At 35.5% G+C, this 12,896-nt stretch overlaps 1 protein-coding gene across 3 annotated transcripts in view, besides 2 other annotated features; it reads left to right on the plus strand.

Moving 5' to 3' along the window:
* Positions 903-1,678: an enhancer, noted in NCBI's record as "OCT4-NANOG-H3K27ac hESC enhancer chrX:86771985-86772760 (GRCh37/hg19 assembly coordinates)". NCBI's record gives its function as "activates a minimal SCP1, AML or CMV promoter by ChIP-STARR-seq in naive H9 embryonic stem cells {active_cell/tissue: H9 hESC(naive)}" and the evidence as "EXISTENCE:reporter gene assay evidence [ECO:0000049][PMID:30033119]".
* Positions 1,679-2,454: an enhancer, noted in NCBI's record as "OCT4-NANOG-H3K27ac hESC enhancer chrX:86772761-86773536 (GRCh37/hg19 assembly coordinates)". NCBI's record gives its function as "activates a minimal SCP1, AML or CMV promoter by ChIP-STARR-seq in naive H9 embryonic stem cells {active_cell/tissue: H9 hESC(naive)}" and the evidence as "EXISTENCE:reporter gene assay evidence [ECO:0000049][PMID:30033119]".
* The window catches only part of KLHL4 (kelch like family member 4), a 152,249-nt gene continuing 141,075 nt past the window's right edge, over positions 1,723-12,896 (plus strand). For all 3 annotated transcript variants that reach the window (XR_938403.3, NM_019117.5, NM_057162.3), the window contains exon 1: positions 1,723-2,236. Coding sequence is in view for 2 of the 3 variants with exons in the window: in NM_019117.5 (NP_061990.2) it covers positions 1,815-2,236 (422 nt within the window). In the remaining variant the exon portion in view is untranslated. The remainder of the gene's footprint in view (positions 2,237-12,896) is intronic.

Here is a 12,896-nt window from a genome sequence, read left to right on the forward strand (position 1 = left end):
TCCAGGAAGAAGCAGTGTTTCAGTTAAAGTCTAAAGGCAGGAAGAAATCCCATGTTCCAGATAGAAGGCAGTGAGGCAAGAGTAATTCTCTCTTATTGAGGGAAAGGTCAGCCTTCTGTTGTATTTAGGCCTTCAACTGATTGGATGAGCCCCACCCAATTAGAGAGGAGAATATGCTTTACTCAGTCTATCAATTTAAATGTTAAACTCATCCAAAAAAAAAATACCCTCACAGAAACATCGAGACTAGCCAAATATCTGGGCATCCCATAGCTCAGTCAGGTTGATGCATAAATTAACTATCACACCTACAAAAACAAGAGGGGAAAGGGAGAGGTATAATTGAATTTAAAGAAAACCACAGATAAAATGCCTATCAAAACTTAGATTCATTTTATTCTCTCTTCAGTTGTTTTTAAATCCATCACATCTGAGTGCTTTTGAAAACATAGAAATCTGTCTAGACTCCGTATAATATATATGAAGAAATTGAGATGCAAAAAAGTAAAGTGACTTGTCCAAGGTCACACAGTTCATTAACCATAAAGTCAAACTAAAAGCAAAATCTTACAACTTCAGTGTTCTTTCTAGTCATACACCAGTATAATTTCCCCTTTATCACCTGTATGCATGATATGAGAACTGGATAAAGTACAAACTGAATTTCAAAATGTCAATGATAAATGCATTCTTGATACATGACTGTCTTTTGTAAACATGTCCATCTGTACAAAGTAGTGATTATGATTCAGATCTCAAAGTACTTTGGGCACAGTTATTCCTGAACAGTGTGATGATTTGGAATTAATTCAAAACATACTCTGTTCATCCTCTCATAAGGGTTTTTGAACAAAGAAAATAAACCTTTAACACTGCCTGTGAAAGTAAAAGGCATGATAAGAAGGTTTGTATCCAGGCATGGAGCCAGAATGAACTATTCATTTTCAAGCTGTGGTAACTGAGAGAAGACATCTCTTTTAACCTAACTAGCTTGGAAAAGCACTGCTTTCTTCCTCCATATGTAGACTAAAAATACCATTTCTACATTCCCAAATGGCGTGTTTGTGTGAGTGGTCATGGGTAACCAATACTTTCTTACATGTTTCTAAAATCTGTCAAGTTTTCAGGTAAATATTCATATAGAGACTTTCACATTTTCAGATTAATTTTGTAAAAACTAATTACGAACCCGCATGAGGGTACTGATGCTTTCCCTTAATGAACCATTTTCAAAGTTTCCATAAAAGGAATCTCAAAATAGATTATAATGAATTCCTCTGTCGCATATTATCATGGAACAAAGTGGCACATTTTTAGAAGTGGGCTACTGAGAAATGAATCTAGCAGGGGAGGCGTGAGTAGAAGGAATCTAGAAGAAAATAAGTTTAAACACTTCGCTTTGGCTCACTTGCCTGGGTTTCAGCTGCAGCTACTGTACTTTGATACTGAAGAAGCAGGGCTAGATATTTGCAAGTCCAAGCAGGAGGGCTGCAAGCCTGCAAATCTAACAGCTGGAGAGTGTTGTGGTGGCTGCTTTCCTGTGGTAAGCTGATTTACTTGTTTAAGGTCTGACCTCATCATCCTGTCAGCATGGGTTCCCACCTACACTGTTAGCTGCAGCCTTCTGCTTCTGCTAGAAGGCTACAAGTATTCACAGTGTATCATAGGCAGTGGGGGAGGGGAGAGAAAGCAAGAAAGACTGCTCTCGGCACTTGTGCTTTTGTTAGTTCTACAGAAGAGGCAGAAAAACAAGAGATAACAAAGGCTCCGTTTCCTTTCTGTGAGAGAAGGCTTTTGTCTTTCCTCCTGCTACGATGTCAGTGTCTGGCAAGAAAGAGTTTGATGTGAAACAGATCCTAAGGCTACGCTGGAGGTGGTTTAGTCATCCTTTTCAAGGTTCCACCAACACTGGAAGCTGTCTTCAGCAGGAAGGATATGAGCATAGAGGGACCCCGGTTCAGGGCAGGTTGAAGAGCCACTCTCGGGACAGAAACGGACTGAAGAAAAGCAACAGTCCTGTCCACCACAATATACTGGCACCAGTGCCAGGACCGGCCCCTGCCCATCAGAGAGCCGTTCAGAATTTGCAGCAACATAATCTGATAGTACATTTTCAAGCAAATGAAGATACTCCTAAATCAGTTCCAGAGAAGAATTTATTCAAAGAAGCTTGTGAGAAACGCGCACAAGATTTGGAGATGATGGCTGATGACAATATAGAAGATTCTACAGCAAGGTAAGAGTTTTTGGTCGCATAACTGAATGCCGTAACTTCAGTTAACTTATCCTCTACAATTCATGTTTAGTGTTTAAATAGAAAGTGTCATAATAATCTCTGAGTTTGTATTCAGCCAATCAGAGTCTCTCAGAAACCGTCTCCTCTAAGTTTATAAAAGAAAACAGCAATAATGAATACGTCTTTATAATTACCGGAAATTTGGGGGGTGGGTTATGAGTTTACTTCTCCTATTTTCATTAAGAATTCTGTTTCAATTCTAAGAGATGTTTATTGTAATTACTAATGTTCTATAAATACACTCCGTGGCTCAGATGTTTAAATGCAATTCTTTGTGCAAGTGTTATGAATCACGGAGAACTCTTTCTGACATTGTGAGTTAGGCCAACTTTAACAAAATAAAAGCTGTGACTGATCAGCACATCCTTATCTGTTTCCTTAGTACATAGTTGCGATATTGACTCTTAAAACTGTGTTATCTTTATGTGACAATATGGAATATTTGGCGTTCGGAGACTCATTTCAAGTTGTATTACTTTCATAGCTAGTTTTTGCAAGCATGAAAATATTCTACATAAAGCAGGTAATAAGATGCTACTTACAGCAATGTGATCTTAAAGCGGGAAATGGAGCATTTCAGCTTTTACATAAAATGAAAATTGAATAAACAGTGACGATATAGTGTAGTTTGGGTATAGTTCATAAAACATTTGATTTTGTCTTTACTTTTATGCCCACCGGTATTGTTTGAGTGCAAGAAAATTACATTCTGTTCTCTAATACTGTCAACTATAACTTAACCTAGTGTATCCTTATCTCTTTGTTTTTTGCTTTTTCACTATCAGACATTTTTATAGTCCCAACGTGTTTTAGACACAGTTGATAATATTGGCAATGTAATTAATATTCAGTAGTACTATAGAAAAATAAGTGTTTTTATGCATTTTAGATCATATAGTAGTTCAACATGCTAATTTATTTGGAAACCTGGATATCTGGCATACTATGTCTCTACCTAAAAATAGAGAAGAAGGACTGGCAGATTTGCTTCTTAATATAAGTTTTCCCAATAAAACAACCTCACAGTGTCTTGCTTTCATAAATTCAAAACAGTTTATCAGAAGAAGAAGCAGCCTAATAACATTACAGCAAAATGATGCCTTTATAGGAACTCAGTCTTGTTGAAATATAAACATGCAGAAGACTTTGTGAAATGACATTAATAATAATGTTAGATTGTCTGTCATATAAACTTCTCAGGAAATAAAGCACGTATGTGTGAAATTTTCCTAAATATTTTGTGCTTGCTCGTGGAAAAGCTATATAACTGTAGGGATTGCAGGTTGCATTTGGTACAACAAATAAGACTCTCAAAGTAATATAGAGTCCATAATTTTAAATTCAGCAGGCTTTCAAATTTGTTCTCGTCACCAAGAACAATTTTTAAAAAACTGCTGAATTTGGAGATTAATAAATGAATTTAACTCTGCTGTAGGGAAATTTAAATTACCAACTGTAACTTTGGAACAAAATTATTTGAGAATACATGAATTAATTTTCTAGTATGGGAATATTTACAATAAAATAGATGTTAGAAAAAATGTTAGGTAAAATGTCACATTTAAAGCGTCATCAAGTGACAGTTTAAAAAGCGCATTTATCCTTTGATTTTATTCCTGACATTTTTTATTTTCTAAAGAAATGCCTTGTTAATTATTCTATGGTTTCATTGGAAAGCTAACGTTTTCTTAATATACATACAGGAAATGGTTTTATAGGTGTGCCAAGGATATCTTAGGCAGGAGGGGCTAAATTGAAGATCTTATTAATTGAAATACGATGGTTTATTACCTTCTCCTTAACCATTCTAAATCTTCCTGTCTTGGTCCAGCATCATTTGAGAAGGAGCTTTCTGATGCCTTGCTTCTCCAGTGCCTCTCTTCTTGAGCAATATTGAGGAGCAGGAAGAAAAGATCCCAACAAGTTGGCAGCAGGCTGCCATCCCCTCAATATGACTCCAGTGGTTTTTTAAAAAAGAAAACAGTAGTGAGTGTGGAGAATTATCATACTAGCACAAGATGAGCTATGACGCTCAGAGTAAAGTAAGGCTCTTTAAGCCATCCAGATTTCTACAAATATTATGGGGAATAAATAGAGAATGGACTAAATTGCAAACATACAATATAGCAGAATAAATCACAGTTAGTCCTGGAAGGGATATTAAAGCCAACATTGTTAAAGTTATGTTGACATGTTGGTTTGGAAAGTTAAAAATTCAAATGTATTCATATGAAATTGAATTATAAATACATAGAGCATTTAGGAATAGCTCTGTATTGTGATCCCACACTGTGAGTATTCATATACCAGTATGCTGGTCATCAGAGACCTGTGCTCAATTATCATTTTACTTTTGTCCTAGTTATCAACTAACTCTGCATCTTTGCTTCCCTTTCCTTATTTCAACCATAGCATTCCAACAAAAAGAACACATATTTTAACATTGTATTATGATAATGCTTCCTATGTGACAGAGTATTTAATTATGAAATAATATATATAGGTATTTGCAATTGCTCATAAACATATTATTGCATAAGTATACAGATGGATGTCACAGTGTTAACATGAAAAATCATGCTTACTGCATTTACTGAAAGAGATGTCGTGATTTCCTCTTTGTGTTCGAAGACATTGAATAAAGTGCAAATGAACCATTTATGGGCCAAGAACATGCCCCAGTACAAAATTGGACATTTACAGAGCTGTTTAATTCTAAGGAATTGTCAGGAATGGGGACCATGCCCTTATTTTACCTGTTGGGGTTTCAGGCTTTTGCACAACCTACCAACTGTACTGATATGTGACTTTAAATATTTTTGTCATCTGTGCACTGCCAGAAAAGACTCCATTCTTTCTTTACTAGAGCCCTTTCCAAGTTTCAAGTGAGGTTTGCCTAGAAAAAATGAGCAGATGTTATTGTATATGTTGCTATCCAAAAGAAAGTAGGATTGGATGAATAAGACTTAGAATTTATTAATAATTTATTCCACAAAGATTGAGCATTCATTGTGTTCCAGGCACTCTTCTAGATGTTAGGGATAAAACAGGATCAAAACAGAGAAATCTGTTTTCATTGAATCATTGAATATACATTCTAATGGGAAGAGAGAGGCAATAAAAACAAACCAAATTATAATATTTAGGTGATTATAAATAATATGAGAAAAATTAATTTGAAAGAATAGAGTGAAGTAGAGGGCACTCCTTCAGATAGAGAAGGCTTTTTGGATGAGGTAATATTTGAGTAGATATTTAAATGAAGTGAAAAGAAGACAGAATGTCTGACTCAAGAATTTGAAGCAAATGAGAGGGTACTTCTCCTGTGCCAAGGGAGTACTTAACCACCATATATGCTTTTCTATACAAATCAATGCCACATGTCCCCACAGAGTCCATTGATTAATGTTCAAAATATTCCTTAACCGGTGAACTAAAAATTATGTCCTGCCCTGTTATTCATTATAGTGATTTTAGGATCACATGTGTGGTCCATGACCACAGAGGTGACTTTCCAGCCATCCTGTAACCATGTTGCTCTTTTGCCCTCTGGGGATATGGCTATTCAGCCAGCGTGGCACATGCCTCATACAGAGACCTCTGCCTTTTATGAAAACAGACACATGATAGTGTATTTGCCTTTTTTAACAAAACGATTCAGATAGGGTCAAATGTATTGTAGGTCTTCATCCTCAACACAAACCCATCTGTTTTATGAAATATGCTAGGGAAATACTCATGCATAAGAGAAATTGTAAGTCTAAAACAGTGAAACTTATTGTAAAATTATTTCCCATAAAGCAGAAAATGAGATATGTGGGTATCTGCAGGGAGTGCTTTCCAGGAAGAAATCAATTTCATGGGACCTGAGATGGGAGTGTGGTTGATAGTGTATCTGGAGAAGCACGCTCAACAGAGAGAGTGGTAGGAAATGACTTTGGAAAGGTAACAATAACAAAGCAATACTAATACAACATTAAAAATAAGAAGTACCTTTTGTTGATGCTTACTGTGTGCCAAGCATGGAGCACTTTACATATATTTTCTCCTGCCCCCAAGGAAAATCTTTGAATGTGAAGCTGATGCTCATATCTACAATTGGTATTTCTCCAGGCATTATATCTGTTAATGTTGTTGCCTGTCTTCTTACGAGGTGAAAATAGTGTGATTTTCTGAAGTTCAGAACTAGGCCTGCTTCACTTAACTTTACACTGCATTATTCAGTAGAGACTTTTATGTCAAATGAAGGAATGAGAAATGAACTACAATTATATAGTTATTTACAGAAAGGTTAAGGTTAAATCTTTTTGCCTATGGTTTAAAACACACCGCACAAAATTACATAAGTTATTCAATTGCTTTACTACATTTAGAACATTACGACAAAAAATTTAAATTTATTGCAATGATTCCTAACATTTTTAGAGATGAAAGCTTTGCTGGTTGATTGCAAATCCTTGCTACTCATTGCCTCAATCCTGAGAGTGTGGTACCATGGTCTTCATGTCTCATTCTTGACAGTACGGTATCACGTATATAATTAAGTTAACATTCATTAAAATATATTTAATATTTCAAAATTTGGGGACTCTCATTTAAGGATCTTGGTGATACTTTGGAGACATATTCTTTTATGATTAAACATAGTTATTATTTCTGATATGTGAAAGACATCATTTAATTTTTGCATTTGGAAATAGAAATAAAGGCTTCAAAATGCATTGTATTATATAACATGTGATGTCAAGAGCAGCATATTAATTATATTGACGTGTTGCAAATTGCACAAATGTTCAGTCACTTTGTACTTTAAAGACTTTTTTGGAAACTTGTATGTCTTCTTTCTGACCCTTGCCCCTAATGCTAATCTTGTTGATGCCTTAAGACATTATAAGTCATATGACTTTATTAGTGAAAATAATTGCAGTGTTTTATACATATATGTACACGTATATGTATATGTATGTATTTGTACCAGTGTGAAATTATTTTATTTAAAGGAGAAAGAAAAACCGAAATCAAGGAGGAGCACTGGGGAACACTGGATCCTCAGTTAAAAAACTTAAGTCAAAATCAATATTCTGAAAGGTAAACCTGAAACATCTTGTAGTGCTAGAAAATAAGTATTCAAAAAAATGATGTAGGTGTGTCAAAGGGACACAGGGATCAACTAAAAAAGCTCCCAATAGCCAAAACTGGAACAATTTCAATAGCAAAAGGAAGTACTATTGGATTGCAAATCATAATATAAAATAAACACCCATGAGTCCATACTGATATAAATAGATGACTGAGTAAATGAGAAGGCCGGCCGTGGTGGCGCATGCCTGTAATCCCAGCACTTTGGGAGGCCGAGGCAGGCGGGTCACTTGAGGTCAGGAGTTCGAGACCAGCCTAGCCAACATAGTGAAACCCCGTCTGTACTAAAAATACAAAAATTAGCCAGACGTGGTGGCAGGCACCTGTAATCCCAGCTACTCGGGAGGCTGAGTTAGGAGAATTGCTTGAACGCAGGAGGCAGAGGTTGCAGTGAGCCGAGATTGCGCCACTACACTCCAGCCTGGGCGACAGAGTGAAACTCCGTCTCAAAAAAATAAATAAATAAAAATAAATAAATAAATGAAAGAAAAAAGACAATTTTTTTGTGCAGAAGAATTTCAAATAATTTATGCCAGCACTCTGCCCTCAAAGAGGTCGAGCAGAATACTGGGCCTTAAGTGTAAGCTGCACATAGTGACTTCTTTCCAAAGGGTCGAGTACGGTATGAAAGAAGGGCAGGAAAGTGTAAATTTACACCATTAGCGGAGAAGTCTGACAAATATGAGCTTAGCCAGATACTCAAGTTTAACATCAAAAGTGCTCAAAATTGCTAAAATTTTTTACATTCTCACCAAAAAATAAAAATAAATTGGTGAGGTGACAGATATGATAATTAGTTTATCAAATCTTTTTAATGTATACATAGATCAAAACATTGCATTGTACCCCATAAATAAGCACAATTATTAACTGTCAATTAAACATTTTAAACATTAAAATATTGTTCAATCATGTTGACAGTATGTACACTTAGTGTGATGTAATGACAATAATATTTACCTTTGTTATCTTCCTCCCCCATCCCCATCATTCCAATCTAATCATAAGAAAAACATCAGAGAAATTTACATAGGGGGACATTCTACAAAATACCTGGTCTATACTCCTGAAACTGTCAGTATTATCAAAAAAGAAAATCTGAGAAACTGTCACAATCAAGAAGAGCCAAAGGAGACATGAAATATAAATGTGATGTGTTACAGAAAAGGGACCTTTAGTGGAAACTGAGGAAATTGAACAAAAATGGACTTTAGTTAATAATAATGTATGAATATTGGTTACTTAATTGTAACATATTTACGATACTAACAAAATGTTAATAGTAAAATAAATTGAGTGCGGGGTATGTGGGGACTCTATTCTATGATTAAACTATCACAGCTTTTCTTTAAAAAAAATGCAATATTTTAGCAAGGGTTATCTGCGTGAATCAATTTCCTAAGTCAGCAATAAAGGACCATCCAATTGGGAAAACTGGGTATTGGTTGTTGTTTGTTTTGCTTGTTGGCAACTAGTTAACGTAATACTGAGTCAAAATCAATGGGCTGTTACTGTCTCTAATGCATAAATCCTACACATTAGAAACAAGATAATATCATAAAGGCAATCCTAAAGAAGTTAGCTAAAGTTCTGATAACATCTAGTAACTACATGCAGTATCAAATCTGACTAACATGATATTAATTGTGGCTATCATTCAGTGTATATCAATTTTAAGGCTGTAGCAACTAATTAAATCACAGTTGGGTATAACAGAAAAACTTATTTTTTTATCACTGAGGATTCCACGAACACTAATGAAGTGGTATATATTTATTAGTATTTTCAAATAAAAATATGGCCTGCTACTTTAAAATAATATTTACATTGCTGCGATTTATCTCTCAAAAGAAAAACAATGACAGATATAAGACAGTCTTTATTATATAAAAATTTTTATCATCTTCCTATGCTAAAAGAAAAATATAGTCATTAAGTATATCTTACTTACAGTGTTTCTATTCCATTTAGATAATCATTTCACCATGAAGAATGGAAAATTTTCAGCTATGGTGTTTGTTTGAGAAATAAGATTTTACAAGTAGACTAAAAATAACTATCTAAGAAAAGGTGACTAGAAGTGAGAAAACTTAAATCAAATCGTTTTCAGTTATCTGATGTTTTAGGATTAAATGAGCATCATTGAAATTTTGAACATTAACCATTACATAAAGGTTTACTCTGGAAACACTATAACGTATGTATTTTCTAAATCAATACATATATATTATACTTACACTATCATTTGCACTGAAAGAGACCAAATATCAATGATCATATTTATTGAAACTATCAGCAGTGAATTCATAGTTCTTTGTAACTTCTGGTTAACATTTCTTAGCTTATCACTATTAGTCACTATGACTCATCCCTTGCATGCTTTTAAATATTACTGTACAGAATGTGTGTCTTGCCCTCCTCCCCACATTGTCTATTGCTCTTTCTTCATCAGCAGCCATACTAAATACCTTGCAATTTTCTCGGCACTTATGTAACAGAAGCAATTGGTTCTTCATCAAGCCCTGGGTAGCTTACTAAAGGCAAGCTATCTATTACATTTCTTGTCTACCCTTTTCCTGTAAAACTAGACTGCTATCAGCACAGTGAGACTTAGGTGTCCTTTTCTGGTTAATGTTGATTACAGTACCTGTAACAAAACTGAAAACAACGCATGAGTAACAGACTGTCACATAAAATTGTAAGCAACACAGCTACTTAATTTAGTCTGAAGTATGTTGCAACGTGCCAAAATTCAGTTGTTTAAGATGTTGGTTTTCTATTAATGTTTCCTCCATTCAAGAATTATTTATTGAGCCCTCATTTATGTGCATGATGGTTTCCTACTCATACAAATGAATAAAAAGGTAAATAATATGTGCTAATTTTCACCAGAGGCTTATGGCATAGTTGGAGAGATAAAGTGTATTCCCTTGAAAGGTTTCATGGCCGTAAAAAAGAAGTGCAATGTAAGAAAACTTTAAATTGCTTAGTCATTGAGCTCCATAGGCATTCAAAGAAAAGAAAGTCTTTCTGGCCAGAAAAATCTTGGAATGTTTCATGGAGGTGACATAATTTGAGATTAAGCTTGAGGAATGGACACATTTTAATACAACTATGGGAAATAATTAATTATAGGAAGAACGAAAAACCTTTCTATTGCCTTTCTAAGGAAAAAGGTAATGAAGCAGAGAAGTTTAATGTATACTCCAATGGAAGACTTCAGTTTTGTCGAAATGAAAGACATATATTGGAGAAGACTACAAAATGAGGAGACCAAAAAAGAAGGTCAGAGCTATATTATGGAGGCTCTTAAAAGACAAGATAGGGACTCTGGACATTTTCTTAGAAGTCAGAGCGTATTAATCCTCAAGAAATCTCTAAAATATATTGTGTGTGTGAATATTTTGAGGGAGAGGTTCCATTCACTTTCCTCAGGTTCTCAAAAAGTTCCATTTTACAAGAAAATTTAAGAGGTACTGTTGTAGACAATGAAGAATCAGTGAAAACTATAAAACTATGGAATGAAATAATGAAAACAATGGAAAAATTTATCATTGAAATTCCTGAACAAGAGACGAAAATAGTCTGCAATTTTTAGTTAATGAGATTTTTGCAAGGAAGTTTTCCCAGGCAGTTAGAAACACCTCACTTTTATATATTTACACTAATTGTCATCTTGACATGGATTACCTAATCTACTATAAAAGATTCCAAGCTTTTGAGAACATTCTTAAAAATATAGTTCTGCAACCCTGTATCGTAAGCTGTTGCATCATAGCACCATCTTGAAACTGGACTCACCATTACAGTGTGTCCTGCATTGGAGGCCAATAACCACTTATACTCTTTGTCCCTGAGACCTCATCATCATTCTATCACATTCACATGGGTGCCTGCAGCACCACAACCCTGGCTGCCAAGAGCCTGGGCCTGATGTTAAAACTAAGACCTAAGCAACCAAAGCCACGCGACACTCTCCTCCCTAGGAAACAGTTGGACCTGCACAGCAGAGAATCTTCTGAACAACTTGCCAGCTTCCCACACCCGCACATATATGTGTGTGCCCATGCCCATCCTCATAGCCAGTTTAGTGGCTGTTCCAACCCCCTGGAGAGCTTTCCACCCCCACACATCCAGCATAAAAACCAGCCTGGTGTTTCCTTCCCAGCAAAACGGTGACACTGCCATCCCAGAGCTCCACAGCCTAGGCCACTGACATATATACCATATAAAAGTGACACCCTAGGATTCATCTGTAGGAAAGAAAGACTCTCTCTGGGAAAGCTACTCACAAAATTGGAAAAAAAAAAAAAAACAATTGTTCTACTAGATGCACAGATACCAACCTGAGCACACAAGAAACACGAAAAAGCAAGGAAACATAATACATACAAAGAAACATGATAAGTTTCCAGTAACAGATCACTGGAGAATGAAATTCTGTAACATCACAACCTTGGCTGCCAGGAGCCTACACCTGATGGTAAAACTAAGACCTAGGCATCCAAAGCCTAGAAAGAATAGAGAATGTAGAAATAATATTTACAAAATGCCTGAAAAAGAATTTAAAATAATGATTATAAGGAAACTCAACATGATACAAAAAAATTCAAACAAATGATTCAGAAAAATTAGGGAAACAATTTGTGATCTAAGTGAAAAATTCAACAAAGAGATAGATATAATGAAAAAGAATTAAGCAGAAATTTTGGAGCTGAAGAATTTCATAATGAAATAAAAATACAATTGTAAGCTTAATAATAGACTAGATTAAGCAGAAGAAAGTATTTCTGAACTCAAAGGCAAGCTTTTTGAAATAACTCAGTCAGAGAAAAAATAATAATAAAGGAGAATGAATAAAGCCTATGGGACTTACGAGACACCATTAAATAAAGAAACTCACAGTTGCACAGTGTTCCAGGCTGTGCGCCATGGCTAATGCCTGTAATCCCAGCACTTTGGGAGGCCGAGGCAGGTGGATCACGAGGTCAAGAGATTGAGACCATCCTGGCCAACATGGTGAAACTCCGTCTCTACTAAAAGTATAAAAATTAGCTCAGCGTGGTGGCACGTGCCTGTAGTTCCAGCAACTCGAGAGGCTGAGGCAGGGGAATCGCTTGAACCCAGGAGGCAGAGGTTGCAGTTGAGCCAAGATTGCGCCACTGCATTCCAGCCTGGTAACAAAGCGAGACAAAAAAAAAAAAAAAAAAAAAAAAAAAAAAAGAGTTCCAGGGAGAAGTAATGGAGAAAGTCACAGAAAACCTGTTTAACGAAGTAGCTAAACACTTTCCAAGTATGGCATCTTATCACGATCATCCAGATTCAGGAAGCTCAACTGTTTCCAATTATATTCAACCCAAATATATCCCCTCTGAGGCAGACTATAAACAATCTGTCCAAAATCAAAGACAGAGAGAGAATTCTAAAAGCTACAAAAGGTAAGCACCAAATCACATTTAAG

The sequence above is a fragment of the Homo sapiens genome, chromosome X (assembly GCF_000001405.40).
Source record: "Homo sapiens chromosome X, GRCh38.p14 Primary Assembly".
NCBI classification, from domain to species: domain Eukaryota; kingdom Metazoa; phylum Chordata; class Mammalia; order Primates; family Hominidae; genus Homo; species Homo sapiens.